The 24,283-nt window shown below is 40.0% G+C and overlaps 1 protein-coding gene and 1 long non-coding RNA gene across 9 annotated transcripts in view; one reads left to right on the top strand and one right to left on the bottom strand.

Moving 5' to 3' along the window:
- The window catches only part of WDR64 (WD repeat domain 64), a 150,497-nt gene that overhangs the window by 50,744 nt on the left and 75,470 nt on the right, over positions 1-24,283 (bottom strand). For all 7 annotated transcript variants that reach the window (NM_001367482.1, XM_011544087.3, XM_011544091.2 and 4 more), the window contains 4 exons: positions 13,545-13,671; positions 10,370-10,518; positions 7,518-7,641; positions 2,312-2,487 (listed from right to left, as the gene is read on the bottom strand). In NM_001367482.1, the coding sequence (NP_001354411.1) occupies positions 2,312-2,487; positions 7,518-7,641; positions 10,370-10,518; positions 13,545-13,671 (576 nt within the window). The remainder of the gene's footprint in view (positions 1-2,311; positions 2,488-7,517; positions 7,642-10,369; positions 10,519-13,544; positions 13,672-24,283) is intronic.
- LOC124904603 (uncharacterized) overlaps positions 9,787-24,283 on the top strand; it is an 81,624-nt gene continuing 67,127 nt past the window's right edge. Inside the window, exons 1-2 of one of the 2 annotated variants that reach the window (XR_007067054.1) lie at positions 9,787-9,975; positions 23,200-23,299. This is a non-coding gene — a long non-coding RNA (uncharacterized LOC124904603). The remainder of the gene's footprint in view (positions 9,976-23,199; positions 23,300-24,283) is intronic. The other variant, XR_007067055.1, reaches the window with a different exon arrangement.

The raw sequence follows: 24,283 nt of genomic DNA, 5'->3' as shown, positions 1-24,283 counted from the left end.
TTTGGGGTCAATTAATCATCTTCCTGGAACCCCCATAGTGCTTTGTTTATCATGTTAGAACAGTAATCTCTCACCAACCTATGGTTTTGTCAACAATGGCTTGGGGGCAAATTTTTCTCAAATTTGCCAAAGGTTTCATATAGGCAGAATGCAATTCTATCCCCTTAAAACTGAGATTATGAGAAGAATTGTTGTTTTCTTCTCTTGTTTTCTATGAAGTTGTATTAATAGACCAGTCAATTTACGGTCTGCCCTCTTGTTACGTGGCTAGGAAATCATGCCCAGAATATTCAGCACAGTGATGATTTGTGCCCAGAGCGGGCAGTTGCACAAGGGTTTTTCTGAGACTTGAGAAAATAAAACCAAGAACAGAAGCATAAGAGAGATATTATATTTAAGCCGTTAAGGACTGTCTGAACACATTTAAAAGTACATGATACTTTGGAGACCCTTCTCAGCTCATAATGCATCAGCGATGTTTCCTGAATAACTGAATGTGATCACTGAAGCAGGTTTTGGCTTTTTGGTTTTGTGGAGCCGGGATGGGGGTGTTTGTTTTTTTGTTTTTGTTTTTGTTTTTAAGGCAGCTGGGAATCTAGGAAGATAGAGAGATAGAGGTTGGGTTTATCTTTCCTCCATTCCACTCTCAGCTCCAACTTCCACCTGCCCACCTTCCAGTTTCTGGGCAAACAGAGAAATGGGGTTTGGAATTTAGGGAAAGAAATTTATTATAAAGCTTGTTCCCTTTTTAGTTGGAAAAAAAATGGCCTGGCTACCAGATTAGTCTGACAACCATCCCACCATACAAGCTTCTGAGACACTTTGTGAAAGCACTCACAACACTTGTAGTAGGTGGATCACTGCCCCCTTATTAAATTATGCATTTCATGGTGAAAGGGAATATCCTTCTGGAACATGGCAAATATTTGGTAACTGGTCATTGAAAAAAATGAATGAATGAAAGTATTCTAGAAAATAAGTATGTAAATCAAATTATTTTATTTCAAATAGGCAGATATAATAATAAAGTAAATAATAGTAATACACTAATAATAATAAGTAAATAAGGATACTTTCAACATTATATTATAAAGCTGCCCGCTCCAACATTAATAAAAGTTCTCCAAATACCCCTCATAAATGTACTATTGTCTACTTTAGAAGAGGTTCTTTCTCTATTTATTTTTAAAATTATTTTAATCCTTAATGAGCACCTACTCTGGGCATGGCCAAGAATACAAATATAAATAAGAGAGGTTTTCAGTTCCTACCAAGATCAATCTGCAGGTTCTAAATGCAGAACCAGAATAATCAATGTGAAAAATGCTACAGTAGAACTAAAAACAATTTTGGTGAGTGAATAGTTCCATGCTACTTTTTGCAGCCCTTAAAAAAGGAGCATTTGTGACAACAGACATTGTCTGGTAGGAAGGGCATCCTGATGAACAATGGCACTTTGTAAAGCAAAAGTCAACATTTCGTTCATTGTAGAGTGTATTATTACTAAGAAATTCCTTTCTACAGTGCCATTTTGGATTACTCAGACAAGAGAAGAGTATATTACATCAGGCAGGTTTTTCACTCCTTTTTCCCCATTCTTAGGTCATCAGTTATCTTAAGCTGGTGCTTCATGATTGCTGTGCTATACAAGACTTTTCTTTTCTGATCTTAGCTTTCAAAAGGGTAAAGGCAATGAGTTCTTGAGTTCGAGGTGATGGGGTGAGATCCGCTCAATAGCCAGGATAAATGATCTAGTCTTCATTATAAATTTGAAGAGGGCATTAGCATTCCCAGGTGGTAATAGAGTCATAGGAAAAATAAATTAGCCTACCTCAATCCTCCCCAAACAGCCCTGAGCAGATTGCGTCATTAACCTTAAAATAAACAAAGCGATTTTGGTGACAAACTGGAAAAGTGACTTGAGCATTCCTGAATGCATTATGGGTTATAAGGGACAGAGCCTGCTGGAAAGCAGTTCTGCCAGTGAATTATTCCCATATGAGCGTATAAAGCATGTCAGAGGTGGCAGCTGAGTATAAATTTAGCCTTCCTGACACCTGCCTTAGGAGACCCTGACTAACCCTTCAGCGGAAGCTTGATGGGCAGCATGCCGTGGCTGGGCAGCGATTGTTTTTTGCTCTTTGCCTAAACCTGGGCAAAGTTAATGAGGAGCATCACGGGAAGGCTGAGGATAAATACCATCTTCAGCTGGCTACCAAGAGCGGGGTTACATGGTGGGGATTATCCACTGACTCATTTGATTTTCCCAAAAAGGGCACCTGCAGTACGAGTATGAAGTGGGATTGTAAACCTGGATCATTTTGATAGTCCCGTTGCGCTCCAAGGCCAGGACCAGCTGCTGGTGTTTTTCTTGGGCTTTGAGGAAAATGAGGCGTCGTAGGCAGTGCTCGTCCTCCTTCCAGTCTTTCCCCTCCGGCAACACCTTCATCTCCTGCCCACTGCCAAAGTCCCAGATTCTGACTGTTCCTGAGCATACAGAGAAAAAGACTATGTGGGTAAAAATGACTTAGAGAAAGCTTGGCTTTTCGCTCAGAGAAAATTCATCCGATCGAAAGCTTTCTGCCAACAATTTATCCTATATTTATTCCCTACTCAGATGGGTGAGTCTTCCCAGGCTTGCTGTGCATGAAATTTATTCCTTTATGCCTTGATTTGTCACAGGCTGAAAAAAATAAATAAATAAACAGGACCAGGCAACGCCTTGAAATCTACCCTCAGGCTCTCCTACTAAGCTTTTGCTCTAAAGTGAGTCTCTTCTGTTGTTATTCTCCCAACGCTTCTCAGTGTGCTAAACACCCAGTCCCGAACATGGGAATATTCGCTACCATGCCACGACTATTATTCACAGTGAAAGATCATTCCAGTAATCTGTCACATTTCCTAATGTGCTGACATGTTTTAGGACTTTAGCTCTTATTAGATAATAAAAAGTTGGAGGGAATCCCAGCCGGTAAGAAACTGCCAAGCTTGGAGTGGTTTTGTTGGTTACGTGGGAGGAAAGTGAAAGAAAAGTGTCGAGTGTTTTTCTTTTCTTTTCTTTTCTTTTTCTTTCTTTCTTTCTTTTTTTTTTTTTTAAGACAAGAGTCTCACTCTGTCACCCAGGCTGGAGTGCAGTGGCGATCTCGGCTCACTGCAAGCTCCGCCTCCTGGGTTCACACCATTCTCCTGCCTCAGCCTCCAGAGTAGCTGGGACTGCAGGCGCCCACCACCACACCCGGCTAATTTTTCTGTATTTCCAGTAGATACGAGGTTTCACCATGTTAGCCAGGATGGTCTCGATCTCCTGACCTCATGATCTGCCCTCCTCGGCCTCCCAAAGTGCTGGGATTACAGGCAGGAGCCACCGTGCCCGGCCAAGTGTTTTTCTTACACTTAAAATTATACTTTCTGTTTGAAACCTAAACCTCAACGTGATGGTGTTTGGAGATCATTAGGTCATGGGGGTAGAACCCTCATGAATGGGATTAGTGCCTTTATAAAAAAGGCCCCAAATTGAGATCTGCTGTGGCTCAGACAAAAAAAGAAAAGTAAGTAACAAAATGGGCCCCAAGGATCTGCCTTGCCCCTTTGTCATGTGAGAACACAATGAGAAGGCACCATCTATAAACCAGGAGGCGGGCCCTTGCCAGACACCAGATCTGCCAGCGCCTTGATCTCGAACTTCCCAGCCTCCGGAACTGAGAGAAATCAATTTCTGTTGTTGAAAAACCCCCAGTCCTCCTGCCCTGAGTGGTAAGGCATGTCAAATGGTCTGAGCCCAGGAGGTTTTCCTATCTCCCCTCAAGAGGTAGAGAAGAATTTGCTCAGCTTTTTCTCCCTTACAATAGGTCTTCATCTACAGTATCAGCAGGAGGGTTTGCTGCCCTTCCCTCAGTGGCTTAGGCTTTTGCTTTGTCGGTAAGACGGATGCTGGTGGGACTTTCTGTGGCTCCACAGTGTTGGCTGTTCCTCTCCCCAACATCTGCACCATGAGGGAGGCCAGCACTGTGTGACATGTGACGAGCTCTGTGAGGAGCATGGGAATGGACGCACAGTCCCTTTGTGTTTCTGGCTTTTAGAAGCGCTGTACTCTCATGCTATCCTACACTCAGATCTCAGCAATTCTTACAAATTTGACTACATTCTCACCCACCTGAATGCCAGCCCAATTTCCTTCTCATCACTGCCCTAGGTAAGACAGTAATTGTGTCCTGCCTTCCGCGGAAGTGCCTGTCTTTCCCAGGAAGTCTTTCCTTCCTGTGTCTTTCCTTCGATTTCAGGCTATTTGCCTGCAACATCGATTCTCGCATAGGTTCAAGAAAAGTTCTGATTTCATAGATCAGCTTGCTTTTTTTCTAGATGTCAGTATGGGCCCAACACTCTTTCCATCTTATTACATACCAAGGAGACACTGTCAGCTCCAATTCTGATAGTGCTTAAAGCATTTTAATTAATCTGATACACGACATTTGAGACCTCAACTAATGTACAAATTTAAAGATTTGTATCAGTGTTTCAGTGTTTGGCAAAATTTGTTAACTTTCTACATTATTTTGAACTTTGAAAAATAAAAAGAAACAGAAAGTTGCAAAAATAGTAGAGTCCTGTGTACCTTTTCCCAACTTCCCCCATTGCTTACAGCCCATGTGACTACGGTATAATCCTAAAACAAGCAAATTGACATTAGAAAATCCCATTAACTAGACTACAGACCTTGTCCAGATTTTACCAGTTTTTTACGTGCACTCGTGTGTGTATGCGTTTAGTTCTTCACAATTTTACCGTATGTATAAATTTGCACAACCAATATACAGAAATGTTCCATCAATCCACAGGAACTTCCTTGTGCTAACCTTCATAGTCACCACCACCCCCGCCGTCACTATTTGGTAATCACTAAGCTGTTCTGTTTTACTTATCTAAAAGTTTGTCATTTTGAAGACATCTTACTTTGTTATTTTAAGAATGTTATTGGCTGGGTGCGGTGGCTCACGCCTGTAATCCCAGCACTTTGGGATGCCAAAGCGGGCAGATCATTTGAGGTCAGGAGTTCCGAGACCAGCCTGGGCAACATAGCAAAACCCTGTCTCTACTAAAAATACAAAAATTAGCTGGGCATGGTGGCAGGCATCTGTAGTCCCAGCTACTCAGAAGGCTGAGGCAGGAGAATCACTTGAACCCAGGAGGCGGAGGTTGCAGTGAGCCGAGACCCTGCGCCCCTGCACTCCAGCCTGGGTGACAAAGCAAGACTCCATCACAAAAAAAAAAAAAAGAACTGAAATGGAATACGTGACCTTTTAAGATTGGCTTTTGTCTTTTGTTAGTGCCTTTCAGATTCATTCAAACTGATGCAAATATAACTAGCTTGTTTCTTTGTATTACTTGTAATAACTACAGTATTCCACTGTATTGTTCTACTGCAGTTTGTCTAACCAGTCATCTGTTGAAAATTTTTTTTTTTTCAGTTTTTGGTTATTATCAATAAATCTGCTATAAACTTTTTTTTTTAAAACACCACCCACTCTATGGTATTCCGTTGTAGCAGCTCAAATGGATGGAGACACTTTCTTTATTGTTAACTTCATTCATTTGCTTTGGGGGACCTGGAAGAAGGGGCCAGAGGGATGATAAACAGTACAGTTGTGGAATGCCTATTTCTAGGTCATTGCTCAGAGTAGAGAATTCTCTTCTCACATGAGCTTTTATAGTGGTCACCTCAGATTCAGACTCCAGTGAACCACAGGTCTTTTCCTCTCCTCCTTTAACCCTACCCCATTTCTTATCCCTCAGCTCGAATCCTGCTCGACACCCAGAGTGTTTTCACTGCACTATTTTCCTTCCCCTACACCAGGTTCTCCCCATCAGCAACACTCACACCCCCAGTATTTGTTGGAACATCATTAAACATTGATTAAATACTCCCTATATACCCAGCACTGTGGTAGGAGCTGGGGATATTTAATGAATAATCATAGTGCCTACCCTCAAGGACTCTGTGGCATTATAGGAAAACAGTCACACAAACAATTAAAAGACATTATCGTGTTCTCATACATTGCTGGGTTATGCAGAGGACAATCTCCTTGTCCAGATTTCCTGCTACCTTGGGACTTGGGCAGTCAGATTTAGTGGAGCTGAGAGCAGAGAGACGTACTCCTCAGCTTTTCCCAGGTGATGGGTGGGTAGTAATGCGAGGAGACCAGTGGCTTGTGGTTTGAACTTCTCTGGGAGTCAGAATCTCACTTCCCAGGGTGTCCTGGATCTCTGTCAATTTAACAGAGAGGGCTTGGCACAGTGGCTCACTCCTGTAATCCCAGCAACTCGGGAGGCCAAGGAGGGAGGATCACTTGAAGCCAGGACTTTAAGACCAGCCTGGGCAACACAGTGAGACTCTGACTCCAAATAAATAAACACAATAAAATAAATTTAACGTATGTACCTTTGAGGAGGACAAACTCAATATCTGAAAGAATTCTAGGTTCTAGAACTAACAATGTAAAATATGGCTTGCTTGCATATAAACAATACTATTGTCAGTCATATATTGAATTGCTTAATGCTTCTGCCTGATAATAATTGTGTACATTGCTCAGAATCTCAACAACCACATTTCATGTCTATGCAGGGTGTGCTTATGGAACAGTTAAGACTGCTTTCTCAAGAACCGATCCACGTGAAGGGCAGTTGCATTTATTCATACCCCATCAACTCAGCATTCATGATTTTATTTCACGTGCTGTTGTCATCTGCTCACACTTTTAAAAGTGAGACTTTCACACATCAGGATGCTCACTCGAGTCATCAACTGGCTTATGCGTATAGGCCTAGGGTAAATATATTCAGAGTAGCTCATGCAATCGGTCATATGGTCTAGATAAAGCAGTTCTTTCATTTAGTATGTCGTGAGTGGGGTGAAAGGCAGGGCAGTCTGTAGCTCTTCAGTTCCTGGAAGTCCTACCAGTGCTCCATAGCGTAAGGCACACCAAACGGCCTAGCCCAACCTGGGCCTGGCATCCTCTCAAGTTTGGCATGGAACATGCCCTCACGAAGGCTAGACATATGAACAATGCCAATATAGAATTCCAATATAGGAGTAATGTGACAAAGTTGGCTGGATGTTTTGTCTGGTCCAGAAATCTACTGTCGGTAAAATTATTGTTAGCAAGCACTGAATCTGATGTCTGTCTCTTGGCTGATGGTACCCAAAAGTGGAAAGATAGGATGAGTCAGTGCAACACAGATTAGATGAGATGTCATATGCAAAAGACTTCTGCAAACTGTTAAAGCAACTATGTAAATGCAATGTGAGGAATTATTTTTAACATCATATCAAGACATTGATGCCTGTTAGATAAGGGACTCTACCACTATTCACCCAGGCACAGGAATTTCACTGGCACCCAGACATAGTCCAGCCTGCTTCATGCTCTCCTTCTACCCTAAAGAACGAAAGAGTTTTTGGCGGAAATTCTCAGGACACTAAAGCAGGGACGCCACATTCTGGATGTTAGTCTGACCATTATACGCTCCTGTGGCAAAAAGAAATCCACTTTCATCGACAGCTGCAGAAGTCACTTCAGTATTGAAACCATGAGGTTCTAAAATCTGGTATACTTGGAGCCCAGTCTCGAGTTCCCATACCTATGGGAAAGAACGAAAATATCAAGTAATCCGTTTGAAGAAGCCCTTCAATTCTCATCAGAATTACACCATATTCAAAACAGCCTCAAAAATGGAACTCTGTACATCTAACACATTTCCTAGCGCTCTGCCCTGAATGTTGGTTTTATCAAAGAAAGTTCTAAAAGATAAAGTGCATTTAATAGTTACTGTGTCTGCTGCAAATGTAGGGGCTGAGACAGGCAGGGACTCTATTCCAGGCAGCCCCTGGCCATGGAAGAAGTGGTCAGTTGGTACTGTAAGCCTGAAGCAAGGTTAGAAATGGAACAATTGCAAGCTCAGCAGACAAAAGAAATATGAACTGGATTTATTCCCTGGTGACACTCATCCTAGTTATCCAGGGATCATGGGACAGGATCTGTGGTTAATAGCATGGGACCTGAGAGAAGAACCCTGAGGAAAGAGCTCACCGACCTTTCCTAGGAATGTTCTGACTAGAGACATGGGCCCAGTGAGAGAGAGAATGGGAGGGAGAGACACATACACAAAGAGAAAGAGAGAGACAGAGAGAAAGAGACTGACCTCAGAGGAGGCCATCTGTGTAATTAGGATGGGTGTAATCAGAAATTCTAGAGACATGTCAAGACTCAAGAGTCATCATTATCTCTCTCTGGAAACACAGTAGAGGCCTTAGACCTGCAGATTTTCTGTCTAAGTCTCTCCTTCATGGAGTTGCCATGTTCAGATGTAAATTGCACTGCCAGTTAGTGACAGCACTGAACTGGCAACACAGAATGATTGCACTCTAGGTATTGTGGCGGAGAGGACAGCATATGCAAAGTGCCAGGGGTGAGAAAGTTCATCTTTCCTCCAGGAAATGGAAAGCAAGCCACTTTAGCTGGGTAAGAGGGGGAGTGCGGAGGGGATGGAGCTGATGAGATAGTCTGGGGGCCTGATAATGAAGGGCCACTTGCCGGGAAGTGGTAGAGCTGGGATTTGAGTGAAGTCAGTCTGGCCCTAGAGTCCGTACTTTTAACCTCTGCGTGTCCCTGATTATAGACAGGGTTCTTAAGGGAGAAAGAGAAATGTGGGTCATTGCATGAATGGGTCTCAGGGGTCACCCATCTCCTGGCCTGCAGTGTGATCCCTCTCCAACCAACCTGGCATGAAAACTCACCTTCATGTGGTCCTCCCACTCTTTTTTCCCACACAGGGATGACATTTTCCCCATAAGAGGTGACTGCACAAAATACTGATTGCACAAAAGCAGGACAGGTTTCAGCTTTCGTTTTCCTCTACCTCTCTCTTTAGGCATTACCAGAAATGCACTAATACAATGAACTCAGGAGATTCTCACTTGAGAAAATCTCCAGCAAACGATCACAGAAGTCAGAGACTGAGAGGTAATTTGAAGGGTCCCCAGAGGAATGCTGTCTGCTAGTCCACACGTCTCCTTTTGGAGGGCATGCATGAAATGAAAGGACCAACACCTGAAGCAAACACCTCCAGCCATCACTGCCGGATGACTTCAGTGGCCGTAATGATGGACACGGTTAGCATGGCCAGGACCCCTGGCCTCTAGGAAATGCTGTGATGGCCGTGTTATGGGAAAGGGGTCCTGATCCAGACTCCCAAGAGAGGGTTCTTGGATCTCACACAAGAAAGAATTCAAGGCAAGTCCACAGAGTAAAGCGAAAGCAAGTTTATGAAGAAAGGAAAGGAACAAAGAATGGCTACTCCATAAACAACCCCTTAGGGCTGCTGGTTGCCCATTTTTATGGTTACTTCTTGATGACATGCTAAACAAGGGGTGAATTATTCATGCCTCCCCTATTTAGACAATGTAGGGTAACTTCCCGACGTTGCCATGACATTTGTAAACTGTCATGGTGCTGGTGGGAGTGTAGCAGTGAGGATGACCAGAGGTCACTCTCGTCGCCATCTTGGTTTTGGTGGGTTTTGGCTGGCTTCTTTACTGCAACTCGTTTTATCAGCAAGGTCTTTATGACCTGTATCTTGTGCCAACCTCCTGTCTCACTCTGTGACTTAGAATGCCTAACCATCTGGGAATGCAGCCCAGTAGCTCTCAGCCTCATTTTACCCAGCCTCATTCAAGATGGAGTTGCTGTGGTTCAAATGCCTCTGGCAGCTGGGCTGGAGGAAATGCAGCAGAAAGGGCATGGGTGCTTACATCAGAAAAACTTGGGTTCATATTCCAGCCGTCATGCTTATGCCAGCTATGTTGCTTGATCTCTCTAAGCCCTGATTTCCTCATCTTTAAAATAAAAACTCTTTATCTGTTCACAGAGAACTGTTGTGAAGATTAAAGCAGATCACAGAGACTTAAAGCTCTTGGTACGTATTCTGAATCTACAGGGGTTACAGTAAACACCTATAAATTTATTCCCCTTCCTTCTTAACATAAATCCTCTTCCCGTACTCCTTTAAAAAAATCAAAATGCAGACTAGTTCTGTCTTCTTGATATATTTCCTTTAAAATTCCTATTTTGATTGTGAAAACTAGCTGTGTTTATTCAATTGAGCATGTGGGTTGATGGCAAGCAGTCTGAACTGGCTTAATTAAAACGCTTGTTTTTCACGTACTCATGGAAGCTTAAAAATCATTCTAATGTATGGTCTCATCGTATGTGCCGCTACATTTGCTTAATCACTCAATGATTTATTTTAAGAACAGAAAATTATATCTGCATTGCCTTTTTTTCTGTTTGAAAAGCCAATAGGTACTTACCCTAATTATGGATTCAGAGCAGATAGTGAGTACTTGATGAAAATATTTGTTGTAAAGCATGACATTGATTTCTCGTTCATGAGTGTGAGGAACCTGTTTTGTATCTTGTATCATCCTAGTCAAAGGATACATGTCCATAACACTAGATCCTGGAACAGAAGTAAGAATCTCATAAATATGCAATATTAGAAGTTTCTAATCACAAAGGGTTTCAGCCAAGCAGTTGGGTTTGGAAACAGCCAAACAGTGAGATTAGCAATATCAATCAATGCCTAGGAAATGTAATGAGGTGAGAATATTTTCATTTATTCTAGAACATTTTTGACAGATAAAGCACATACGATTCAGCCACAGAAAAGCATTCATTTTGGACTGGATTATTTTTCAAGTGCAGGCCATTTGGACTTCATTGATATCCTTTTTAGTGAACCTCATTTTCCTATATTTCATAGTCCACTTCTCTCTTTTATTGTGCCTGCAGCATGCCTCTCCATCTGTTGCACAGCAATAGTGGTGATGACCAGCTTTCTGCTGAAGGTTAGCCTCCTCTTAGTGGTGGAAATTTATTGTTAGAGAGCCCCTTTCAACCAATAAATTGATAAAGCACTCTGTAAACATGGTCTTATTAAATGTAACAAATGAGAATGATCACAAGCCAGTGCTTGCAACATCAATATAAAAATAAGATTAATTTCTAAATCACCACTGTAAAGTAGAAGTAGATGAGGAGCAGGTATGCTTTACTTGCATTTTTCTAAGTATGATATAAGTATCAAAATTAACTGCAGCTCTGTTTTAGTGTAATGTCTAGAAATATTAATAAGAATCTCAATTAGCCGGGCATGGTGGTGGGTGCCTGTAATCCCAGCTACTCGAGAGGCTGAGGCAGGAGAATCACTTGAACCCCGGAGGGAGGTTGCAGTGAGCCGAGGTCATGCCATTGCACTCTAGCCTGGGCGACAGAGCGAGACTCCTTCTCAAAAAAATAAAAATTAAGATTAAAAAAAAAAAAAGAATCTCAGAGCATTCCTGTGGCTCAAGCAAAACTGAAATTTCTTCCTGATTTTATCGATGTAAAGATTAAGTTAATAAGGCAGATTTTGCATTGAGTTTCTCAAGTTTCTCCAAAGAATTCTCAACTTTAGGAGAAGTTTCTACAGGAGTTACTAAACACTCTCTGAAGTGTTTAAATTTTAAGATAAAACCTGTTCATGTGTAAATACGGACTGAGATGGCTCATCTGGTTGTATTTCTCAGTTCAGATACCTTAACATGGAAATGTGAGCAGAATATGGTAACCAGATAGTCAAATCATACTTGGACCTTTTGGTAGATCCTTTTCATTACAGTGACAGTAACTGACTTCATTCAGAATGGACGTCAACAAATCTTGATATGCTTATGGAAAACTGGCAATCTTCTACTTTTTGGCTAGTTACACTGCTGCTATAGAAATGATGCAGTGCTGAGAAAGAATGTGGAGTCCAGAGTTAGAAGCTCTGATATTGAATCTCAGTTCTATGTTTTAACCTTGTGTCCTGCCACTAGTCAGCTGGGCTGTTTGAGATTCAGTTTCTCCATTTATAAAATAGAAAAAATAATTACTACCTCATATGGTGGCTGTGCAGATCAAATGAAAAAAATAGATGATTGTAATGGTAGTTGTCTTAATAAAAGTAATAATGATAACAACAGTGACAGCAGCAACAAAATACAAAGCATTTCTAGAACGTGGTGCTACTGTCATTGGGATTTAGAGGACTGATGGTTGCTTCATTTGAATCAAAGAATGAATTAAAATCCTAGACATAAGCTTCATGTAATTCTGATGTCAAGTTCATGGTTGCAGTAAGTGTCTGCAGTTTTGGTGATTGAACAATACACAGAGCTTTATATTTTTGCAAACAGAGGTGCTATCAGAATGATACAAAATTGGGAAGAAATCTTGATTTTTCTGTCTTCTTTTTCTTTTTCTTCTTTGCCTTACTATTTGAGTCCTTAGTGACTATGATGATAAATGGGATGGAAATGCTAAGCCTAGTAATCAAATATGCAAATTGGGGCACTGAGAGAAAATTTGCTTATAGTCATTATTATGTTCCTTTTAGAGGAGGTAAAACAGAGAATAGGTGTTTACAACTAAAACTAAGTCCTGTTTTATAATGTGGAAAGTTCTTTATCAAGTATGAAGTGCTAGTTCACTCCTAATCCAGGAAATAAAAACACTGAATGTCAAAAATAATTACATTCTCCACCAGCAGAGATAGCACCAACCTCTTCCCTGCCTTAATTAATCCCACAGGAACTCAGAGCAGCTGGCCAGTGGGAAAATGCTTAGGAAATTCACTCATTTTGGCTTCTAGAAGGAGGACCTACTATTAATATAATGCATTTTTATCCTGAAGCCTAAAGGTATGCATATAAAAAGTGCTCAACCTAGATGTCTAGCAGGGCCCCTTGTTTCTTTAGTAGGCATGTCTTTCTAAGAGGCCACAAGAAAAATCAGCAACAAATCTGTTGGCATCAGCACTGGGACTCTATCCTCACTCTCCATTGGTCTTCGTCGAGAGGCAAAGGCTGGTGAAGGTGTCAGCACTTTTCCTACTGAGTAGTGACTCGTTATCAGAATGGCATGGGCCCAAATTTCCTCACTGCAGAAAAGGGGCATTGACTCGGTACGCTGGTGCAGCCGCTGTAAAATAGGATCATATTCCTGCTCCAGAGTCAAAACAGAGCTGTGTGTGGGAGCTGGATTTGCCCTATACATAGCAACAAGTTACATACATCCCACTTCTTTGCTTAGCCCAGGCATTTCTTCCTAGGTCCAAGAACTTAAAGCAATAACCTGGTGTTTTCAGATTATTAAAACTATCCTTTCAGGGAGGAATGATAACTATAGAATTACTCAAATAGAACTTTCTTCCTAGGTTCAAGAACTTAAAGCAATAACCAACCTGGTATTTTCAGAAAAGTGCAGTTACACATTTCAATCATCCAGCCACAGAAATATATAGGAAAGAGCAGAATTGAATTAAATATCTACTGTCACGAATCATGGTTTGATAAATTACCCTTCTAGTTTTGTTTTCCTTGTAGTTAGTGCTCAAGTGCTAGTTTAAAAAAAGGTTAAAAATCAAGACATGAGTTTCGTTTGACATTAATTGGGTACACTTACCCGTAATAAGCATGCCATGATTGGCATCATATATCATAGAGTAAATCTGCATGTCTCCTGGTCCTCCCTGGCTGTCATGGAAGACTTGTAATAGTGAAAGAGTTTGTATATCCCACACCCGGAAAACCTGGAAGAATAACAAACACAGTTTACCACTATTTATACTCACCTTTCTCACCCAAGATATTTAGGTGAAGCATTTTCAGTTTGAAATACACTCTTATAAACTTATACCAAAGTATTACTTATATGATAAGCATGCATTTGCTAAGCTCCAATTTAGTTCTGGGTTGGATTATTGTTCATTAATATCAGAGGAAAATAGCAGCAGTGATTACTTTGCTTAAAGGTATACCTTTAGGAATTGGATTTTTTCTATCATTATAGGGAAGGAACATAGTATTTATTACTCTTTAAGAATGTGGAGGAATAATAAAAGATCATGACTTACTGTTGAATTAAAGTCACATTTCTCTTTGTATTATGGATGAGAAAATAGGGAGAAGACATATTTTACGTGGAAGCTTTCAAATTGCTCTCTTATGACGATGGGAACATCTTACTAAGTGAAGTTACTAAAAACCTCCCTCTCCATTTGCCCAGATATGTAAGAATTATAAAAGCAGTTTTTAGGGATGGTATAGACACACTAGGAGTATGAGAATATAGGTTTTTCAAACTATCCTTTGAGGGAGGAAAGATAACTATATAATTACTCAAATAGAACTTAAGTTGATATCAGAGAATAGAAAGAACAATGAAGTACAAATTCTGCAAAACTAGGTTAAGTCTGTGATCTGAAAGAACTGGTCTTAGCCTCTTCACTATTCTGCTTTTTTAGTAGGTTAGTGGTGTTATTGAATTTCAGAAATAAGTGTTGATTGATCAATAATTACATTTCTTCAGTTGTAGAAGCTGGGGGGAAATTACATTTTCTAGCTCTACGTCAGCCCTTAAATAATATTTTCATGTTATAGTAAATTTATTAACCTATTAATTTGGAGTATTTGTTGAGTAAATGGGTGACCATTAACAGAACTACATGTAAAACTTCAGTAAGTAGTTTAGTTAAGAGAGCTACTAACTTCTAATTTGAGGCACTTATAATTGAGTTCATTATAAGTTAATTAGGTTCAAATCTTCACTATTGCTAAGGCAAGTTAGTCCTCATATGTAAGAACACAAAGTTGTCTGGGTCCCGTGACTTGGAGAACATTGGTGAGGAGCTTTTGCTCAAATGTAAACCCTCTGTAGGCTAGTATTATCAGAACTTGTACCATTGAAATTTATTTTCTTTGTTCTAGTGAAAATGCCAATTTTGGAGGAGTAGATAGAACATTGAGCCTTTTCAGCCTTTTGTATCATAAAGTAAACAAGTATAATGGATTATATGAATTTCAATCCAGAGCATAGAATGAGAGACAAGTAGAGGAAGAGACACAAAAGTGGATTCAAGGAATTCACCAAAAAATGTGTTTCTATGCAAACTGTTTTTTATTTTATTGCCTTGGCTAAGGTATGTTCATGGTGGGCAGTCTTTCTGCTGTATGTATATACACTCTGAATTGTAACTGACAAAAAGAACAAGAGACTAGGCAAAGGAGGATTAGGGTTTCAATTCTAGTTCATCACTTAAACTCCTTGAGTCTCAGTTTTCTTGTTTCTTGAATGGCCATGATGACATCAGCACCATTCACCTTATTTAATTGATGTGATTATGTTTTGAAATCTGTGATGTTCTCTATAGAGTTATTATGTTTGCTTTTGCCTTCTTTCTCTTCTTCATTGTGCAGTTCTTCGGGTCTTTCCTGTATGTTTTAGAGAAGTGGCAGTTGCTGGGCTGTGGGAGGCACAAAAACCTTCTGCGTCATACTGCTCCTACCCTCTAGGGTTTTTTGCTGCCCCTCTCCCTATATGCCTTCTTTGCTACTGTCATACCGAAGTGTTTTGCATTTCCAAAAACCTTCTTATTCTGGTCTCTGTGCATTCACACAAACTCTTCCTTTCATCTGCAATTTCCTCTCAAAGGCCTTCTCTATCTAGCTAACTCCTACTCTTTTTTTTTTTTTTTTTTAAACTCTTCCATAAAGAGAACTAAAGAGTTCAGGTCAGAATAGTGCTAAAAGTTTTTGCTTTGATGAACTATTTCTTCTCCAAACACACAGAAAATATATCTTCAAAAAAGCAAAAAGAAACAGCAGGGCTCCAAAGCAAGATATATATCTCCCTAGATCCAAACAAGAGAGAAGCATAAAGCAATGAATGGGCTGAAGCCTGAGACCTGGGTGCTTGGTCTGGAGCAGGCAGTGGCAGCAGAGCAGCTTCTGCAGACAGACAGGACCAGAAGACCTCCATGCCTGGGCTCCACAGCAGAGGTAGCAGCATGTCCTCCAATTCAGAAAAGCAACAGGCTGTGCTCTGTCCTTATGTGGATGTGTAGCTTTTTCAAAGATATGAGACCAGTGAGGGTAGGGCACATCACTTTTTGACCAGGAACTAAAGCAAGGTAACCTCTGGCTCAGGGACGAGAACTATTTCTGAACTGGGACCTGAAGAACCAGGTAGAGGAAAGTGTAGATTGGAAGGAGTGAGCATATAGACACACACACACACACACACACACACACACACACAGAGAGAGAGAGAGAGAGAGAGAGAGAGAGAGATAGAAAGAGAAGGACAGGCTGGGAGCAGTGGCTCACCGAGGCAGGCGGATCACTTGAGGTCAGGAGTTGGAGACCAGCCTGGCCAACATGGTAAAACTCTGTTTCTACTAAAAATACAAAAATTAGTCGAGCATGATGGTGCACGCCTGTAATCCCAGCTACTCAGGAGGCTGAGACAGGAGAATCGCTTGAACCCAGGAGGTGGAAGTTGCAGTGAGCCAAGATCGCACTACAGCACTCTAGCCTGGATGACAAAGCGAGATTCCGTATCAAAAAAAAAAAAAAAAAAAGAGAGAGAGAGAGAGAGACAGAGAACTAAATATTAAAAGGAGACTATACTTTTTAGAAAAATATAGGAGAGGAGGGTATCTTCAAGAACTTCGGAGTTGGAAGAGATTTCTTAAATAAGCACAAAAAGCATAAGCCATAAAAACTTTAAAAATTAAAATTAAAAACTTCCGTTCAACCAAAGCAACAACACAAAGACACAAAGTGTAGAAACTACTCAAATGTTCATTGGCCAAGTTAGACAAATAATATGCGCTGCGTTCATACAACAGGATTCCATCAGCATTTAAAACAAATGAACTAGAGCTATATGTAACAACATGAATAAATATCAAAACAGAGTGTTGAGGGAAAAACTGCAGTGGGGTATATTCATTGTAATATTTACACTATAAATATTATATAAAACATGCAAAATAAAACTATATCAGGGACACTTGCACTAATGCTGTAAAAACATGGTGCTGGTTAAAAATTAACAAAAACTCAAAAAAATTAATCTTTAAACAACTTTCGTTGCACTCCCTTCCAATTAGATGCTCTTTCTCTAGATGCCCATGATATAGACATGTGCTGCTTAAGGACAGGGGTATGTTCTGAGAAATGTGTCCTTAGGTGATTTTGTCATTGTGTGAACATCATAGAGTATACTTACACAAACCTAGCTGGTATAGCTTACCATACACCTAGGCTATATGGTATAGTTATATGATCACCATCATATATGCAGTCCATCGTTGACAGAAACGTGGTTATGCAGCATATGACAGTATCTGTCTATATTAATAGCAATTAGCAATTATAATATGATGACTCATTCGGTGGCCTTCTCTACTAGACTATAACTCTCGGGGGAAGAACCACAGCCTATTTGACTCTTTTTTTTCCCAATGTCTTATGTATTCTGTTTAGCTTGATTGGTTAGTCAGTTTTTGGTCATATTCTCTGTCTTGGTCAAATAGGAATTTATATGGCTTCGCATTGTACAGACAATACATTTTAAATTTAATAAATCAATTAATAAATAGGACAGCCTCAGAAAACTAATCTATTTACTTTATTCTTAGGTGTTCACAATATATTAGTTGCTTTGGGGAAAGACAGTAGTGATATTTGTGAAGCCCAAATATCTGAGAGAGGTTAATTCAGAAAGTTTATTTTGCCAAGGTTGAGGACACACGCCCATGACATAGCCTCACTCAGGGGGTCCTCACGACATGTACCCAAGGTGGTCGGGGCACAGCTTGGTTTTATACATTTTAGGGAGACATGAGATATCAATTAATATATGTAAGATGTACATTGGTTAAGTCCGGAAAGGCAGGACAGCTCAAGCAGGAAGGAGGCTTCCAGGACACAGGTAGGTAAGAGACACAGGTTGCATTCTTTTAAGTTTCTGATGAGCCTTTCCTGGGAGGGCAATCAGATATGCATTTATCTCAGTGAGCAGAGGGATGACTTTGCATAGAATGGGAGGCAAGTTTGCCCTAAGCAGTTCCCAGATTGACTTTTCCCTTTAGCTTAGTGATTTTCAGCCCCCCAAGGCTTACTTTCCCTTCACGTATTAATTAAGCTCTAGTCTTCTTTCACTTATTCCCCTAGAGGTTGTCAGTGTTCTTATGACAGGTATTAGTGATGCAAAGCTTGGGAGGACAGAAGTGGAGCCAGGTCAGCACTGAGGGGGTTTAGGAAGAAAACAAAGGGCAGAACATGGCAGAAGCAGACTAAGTTGGTATAAAAGGAGACTGAGTGGCTTTACGACAGAGATATGTTGTTAAGACTTGTAGAGAAAATCAAGGAGGACAGGTGGCTTCTACTAAAGAGGCCAGGGCAGAATGGAACATTCATAAGTTATAAATTAAATATTATATACATATATGTATATAAGTAATAAATTAAATATTATATTCATATAATATGTGCATATATGTATATATGCATTATGTATAATATATGAATTATATGCATATAAACTGAAATTATTTTAAAAATTTATCTTCTAGTAGCAGTAAAAATAATAATGATGATTCTCTTCTCTTCTCTTTTCTTTTCTTTTTTTTGAGACAGAGTTTTGCTCTTGTCGCCCAGGCTGGAGTGCAATGGCATGATCTCGGCTCACTGCAACCTCCATCTCCCGGGTTCAAGCAATTCTCCAGCCTGAGCTTCCCGAGTAGCTGGTATTACAGGCACCTGCCACCACACCCAGCTAATTTTTGTAGTTTTAGTAGAGACGAGGTTTCACCATGTTGGCCAGGCTAGTCTTAAACTCCTGACTTCAGGTGATCCATCCACCTTGGCCCCCCAAAGTGCTGGGATTACAGGTGTGAGCCACCGTGCCTGGCCAATAATGATTTTCAGATAAATTGGGAATGGAGTGAGATGGAGGGATTTTTTTAACAATGGGAAAAACATTCAACTATAAGGTTGATTAAGTGTTTTGAGGGTAATTTGTAATTGAAGTCACTTATCACAAAATATCAAAGAAAAGGACAAGAGAAAGACTTCTGGAGCCTTTTGTAAGAATTAATAAATAATGATGAAGTAGAAGAAGTTTGAAAATATATACATGTGTGTACCCGAAGTGAGGGTTGTTTTGATTCAACTGTATTTCCCGGCATTTCTTCCTGCAAACTTTATGCCAATTATTATTGTCCAAATGTATTAATAAAGTATCTGGGTTTTGTTTTTTGTTTTTTTGTTTTTTTGGTTTTTTTTTTGACAGAGTTTCACTCTTGTTGCCCAGGCTGGAGTGCAATGGCACCATTTCAGCTCACTGCAACCTCTGCCTCTCAGGTTCAAGTGATTCTCCTGCCTCAGCCTCCCAAGTAGCTGGGATTACAGGAGCCCGCCACCACGCCTGGCTAATTTTTGTATTTTTAGTAGAGACGGGGTTTCACCATGTTGGCCAGGCTGGTCTCAAACTCCTGACTTCAAGTTATCCACCCACCTCAGCCTCCCAAAGTGTTGGGATTACAGGTGTGAGCCACTGCGCCCAGCCAGGTATCTGTTTTTTGATGGGTGTTTATTATAGAGTGACTAGAGCAGAATGTCTGATTTATAAGAAGATACAACATTAACAAGCCATACAAAATTCATTATACATCAAATAATTACAAAATTCTAGCCTAGGTGTTACAGATACAAAGATTAATAGAAGCCCTGTTGTTCTTGAGTAGATCTAAGTCTTGCCAGGAGAGTAGATAGATGACAAATAGATAGATAGATAGATAGATACTGCATTGTAAGAAACACTTGAATAGAAGTTTGAGCATTATTCCATAATGAAAATTGTACCAGTAGAAATCTTTAGAATTAGAATCACAGTATCATTTAGATAGAGCAAGGGGTCTGGGGAATTCACCATTTTCTGATTGTAAAGGAAAGTCAGAATTTGGCCTGCCTTTCTAATTTTACCCAACGGCTACAAGAGGCTAATGAGATTTTTAGTCCCCAAATAAATCAAATCAGGGTCACTCAATTGATTACATGATTTTACCTTAAGGAGCCTGAAGATATATGAGATTATGAAACTCTTTTGAGTGTTAACATAGTACTACATACAAATGGTACATTTGAAAATCAGGGTATGTATGACAGTATGACAGTACAGTATAAATGGCAGGCACTCAACACTGTTTAGGAAATTCAATGCTAAATGTATTTATTAAGTTCTTACACATTACTTAATAAGAAAAAATATTTTTAGCACTGTATGTAGAACTAAACCTATTAATTTTATCATCTTGTTTTCACATTTTTCCTGTGTGATAACTGGCAAATAGAAAATGAAGACATCCAGCATGTCTTTAAAAATTAACTTTTTAATTACCAAACTAATGTACCTAGTACACAGATTCAAACAGTACAAAAACGAAAGTCCTCCTCCCCACCTACCACTTAACTCTGGACTCCTCAGTCCCACTCCTTAGGTAATAATTGTTGGAAGATACCACCTCAGGAGGCAGACTATCTCAGTTGAATCCTGATTCACGTCCAATAACTGTGTGCACTTGGGCAAATCTCTTGACTTCTCTGAGCCTTAGTTATCACACTTGTAGTTATCACACAGTACCTATCTCAACCTATCTCATAGGGTCGTTATGAACGTTAAATGAGTTCATACATATAAAGAGCTTACATCTATGTTAGGACATATTTATGTACTTAGATTTATCTCATTTTTTTTTTTTTAAGAGACGAGGTATCTCTATGTTGCCCAGGTTGGTCTTGAACTCCTGAGCTCAAGTGATCCTCCCGCTTCAGCCTCCTGCATAGCTGGGACTGCAGGCATGCACCACTGTACCTGGCTTTGTCTCATTTTTTAATGGCTGAATAGTATTCTGTTTGTGAATGCTCCATAATTTATTGTAATTAGTTCCCTGTTCATATGTATTATATTTCTTTATTTTCTTTTATTAAAGCAGTAGTGAACCTCTTTGCACATATATTTTTGTAAAGTACACTGGCTTTGTAAAGCAATATAGATATAACTGAATGATAAATTCCTACAAATAGAATGTTTGTGTCAAAGGTTGTGAATATTTTGAGTTTTGAGAGATATACCAGATCAACCTTGCCTTTTGAGAAGATTACAGGCAGTTTGATAACTTCCTGATTTCAAGTTGCACAATCAAGTTCAATTTTCCCAGTCCAATTTACCAGGAAAATTGAACTTGATGTCTATGTCATTCCTAGGTTTGGTCATCAAAGATTTGGGGCAGCTATGCTTTATTTACTCAACTAGATTTTTAGCTTCTTTTTGACAAAGATTACATCAAAATATAAATAGGCACAGAGCCTAATGCACTCTCAAGCATTTAGCAGGGGGTCATATATTGGTTGACATATTAATGCAGTAGAAAGTTGGGATTCCTAGTTGTACAGCCCTGAGACACAGTTTACCAGCCAAGAAACAATGCAAGGGAACCACATTTTGTGAGAGATAAAAGGTTAATGTCAATAGAATACCCAGATAGTTACCTTAGGGAGGCTGTAGTGAATATGTGTATGTGTGTGTGCAAGGGGTCTGAAAGCTGGTAGAGGTGTCTAGAGAAAGTCTAGAGGATAAAATAAAGACACTCAGAAACGCAATAAAAATTACAAAGGAAAGAGTCCCAAAGGGCAACAATCACAAACAGCCTGCCTCATCTTAAGCAAATGTGCAATCATAGCTAAGAGCTCCTGGTTATAGAAGTGTGATAGCCACACTCAGAAGGAAGCCTTATATAGGGACTGCTTCCTGGTCTTGGTAGGCATGTTTGCTCCCAGGACTCAGAGCTATCCACAGGGTCTTCCTTTGAAGGTTGTCAAGGAGCTGTCCTGGGTGATGAACTAAAGAAAAAGCAACAAGACCTGCACATAAGCAAAAAGTATTGCAAGTTGAGAACTGAATTCCAAAGCATGTGCCCTCACCCCTTTTTTCTTAGTTTTTATTTTTTCTTCCTAGATGGCCACTCACATTTTATGTTTTATAATACATAGTATATTTGTCTTCCCCAGAAAATTTTCCTACAGTCACTCAGGAAAGTTTTGAAACAAGTCTTACTCTTAAGAATGTTGCAAACAGTTTACTCAAAAGGGAATGTTCCAAGCCACAGAATGAGGACAAAAGGTAGTAAAATATGAAGGCAGTGAAACCAGGTTCTCAATCATGGATGTTTCCAATTATCAAAGAAACAAGAAAAGTATTTGAACTTGCATCATTTATGATAATCCCATACAAACAGAAAGCACAAGGAACTAAAGCAAGGAAAGATTTCAAATTTTTAAAACTTGAAGGTAACATTTTAAAAGGTTAGTTTTTCTATCTCCAGGTTTATTTCAAATTTACACATTTCTCACTCACCAAAAGGAAAAAAAACTCAATTTTTATCTTAGTGAAGGCTTTGGGCATGACATGATATTTCACTTAGATGTAAAGGATATATAGGATGTCTGGGAATGGGAGGAGAATTGTTTCAGACAAAGACGGGAATGCACAAAGCCTTTGGAGAAGAATTTGGTAAGGCTTGGAATTTCTGAAGCCAAACAAAGCTGAAAAGATATTCTTGTTCCAGACCCTAGAGAACCTTAAGAACTAGAAAAAATAATCTGAACTTTATTTGTAAGGCATGAGGGGCCTTTGAATATATGTGAGAAGGCAATGACAAGGTTATAAATGGGTTGGAGGAGGATCAACATGGCAGTACAATATCTGGATGGTTTGGGGAGAGAAGAAACTGAAGATAAGAGGTCTACAAGTGCTTTCTAATGGGCCACCTGCAACTGGGAGCCCCTTGGTGGATGGGTCTGAACTAAGGCCATGACTCTGGGAAGAAGAATGAGGTAATTTACAGGAGACACATTTCAGAGACTTCAAACTGACCAGTGGCAAGGCTTACAGAGATAGAAGGATCAAAGGTGACTTTGAAGTTGGATTATGGCTCTCTGGGAAACAAATGATACCATTAACAGTTAGAGGAAAATCAGAAGTAAGGAAGAGAAGACTTGAAGTAGAAAATAAATTCAGTTTTAGGTAGGCAGAATTTTTTTTAAAGATAACTGCCTTTGAAGATATGCACACTCACAATCTAGTCAAACTGCCTTTTCTCAGGTTTCTACATACCACTTCCAAAGTGAAAATGTACGAAAATTAGCAACTTTTACATACATTTGTAATCTGTTATAAATCATCAAAGTATGTAAATTTCTCCCCTTCATAGAAAAAAAAAAAGAAGAAGAGAATCAGCCTTTTGGTCAATAGAACTGTGCTTGAGAAGGTTTCCAACCATTGCTCCCATTGGTTTTGCTGATGAAATGAAAGTAAGTGAAGATTATATTTGTCTCTGCATTTTTCAACATTCGTCAGTTCTTCTTCAGGTGTAATAGATGTGGCACATCTGTTCAATACTTGGGCTCTGTGACTAGACATACAATTTTAGCAGTTGGGGAAGAAAGTAATATCCTGGTGGAAAGACTGCAAAATTAGGAGAAAGAATAAAAATCTTGCTATTTTAAGAGCTTAGGAAAAGGCATGTAGTGGGCACACAACTATGCATGGCGATTTATATGCTTTCTGCTTAATGTGATGAAAGCTAATTTATATGAAAGAGTTTGAAGGGATGTTGTCTGTTCCCTTTTCTGTAAATAATAATATAGCTTCAATAAAAAAACCAAAAACATGTATGTGCCTAGTTTGCTTTTTTTTTCTTCTTCTTCTTTTCTGAGACTGAGTCTCGCTCTATTGCCCAGGCTGGAGTGCAGTGGTGCAATCTCGGCTCTCTGCAACCTCCACCTCCCAGGTTCAAGCGATTCTCCTGCCTCAGCCTCCCAAGTAGCTGGGGTTACAGGTGCCTACCACCATGCCAGGCTAATTTTTGTAGTTTTAGTAGTGACAGGGTTCCACCATGTTGGCCAGGCTGATCTCGAACTCCTAACCTCAAATAATCCACCCACCTCAGCCTCCCAAAGTGCTGGGATTACAGGCATGAACTGCGGCACCCAGCCCAGTTTGCTCTTCTTTCTGCCTAAATTGCCCTTTTCCTTTTCCTAGATCTTCACGGGGCTGGTTCCCCTGATCATTCAGGCTTCAGCTTTTATGTCACCTCCTCAGAGGTGAGATTCAATCACACTGCACCACTATGTTTTCTATTTCTTTTCTTCTTCTTTTTCTTTGTTTTTGTAGAGATGGGGTCTTGCTATTTTGCCTAGGCTGGTTTTGAACTCCTGGCCTCAAGCAATCCTCCTGGCTCAACCTCCCAAAGTGCTGGGATTACAGGTTTGAGCCATTACACCCAGCCCTGTGTT

This window comes from Homo sapiens, chromosome 1 (assembly GCF_000001405.40).
Source record: "Homo sapiens chromosome 1, GRCh38.p14 Primary Assembly".
Taxonomy (NCBI): Eukaryota; Metazoa; Chordata; class Mammalia; order Primates; family Hominidae; genus Homo; species Homo sapiens.
The sequence above is the reverse complement of the archived record's forward strand: the minus strand, read 5'-3'. Positions and strand labels throughout refer to the sequence as shown.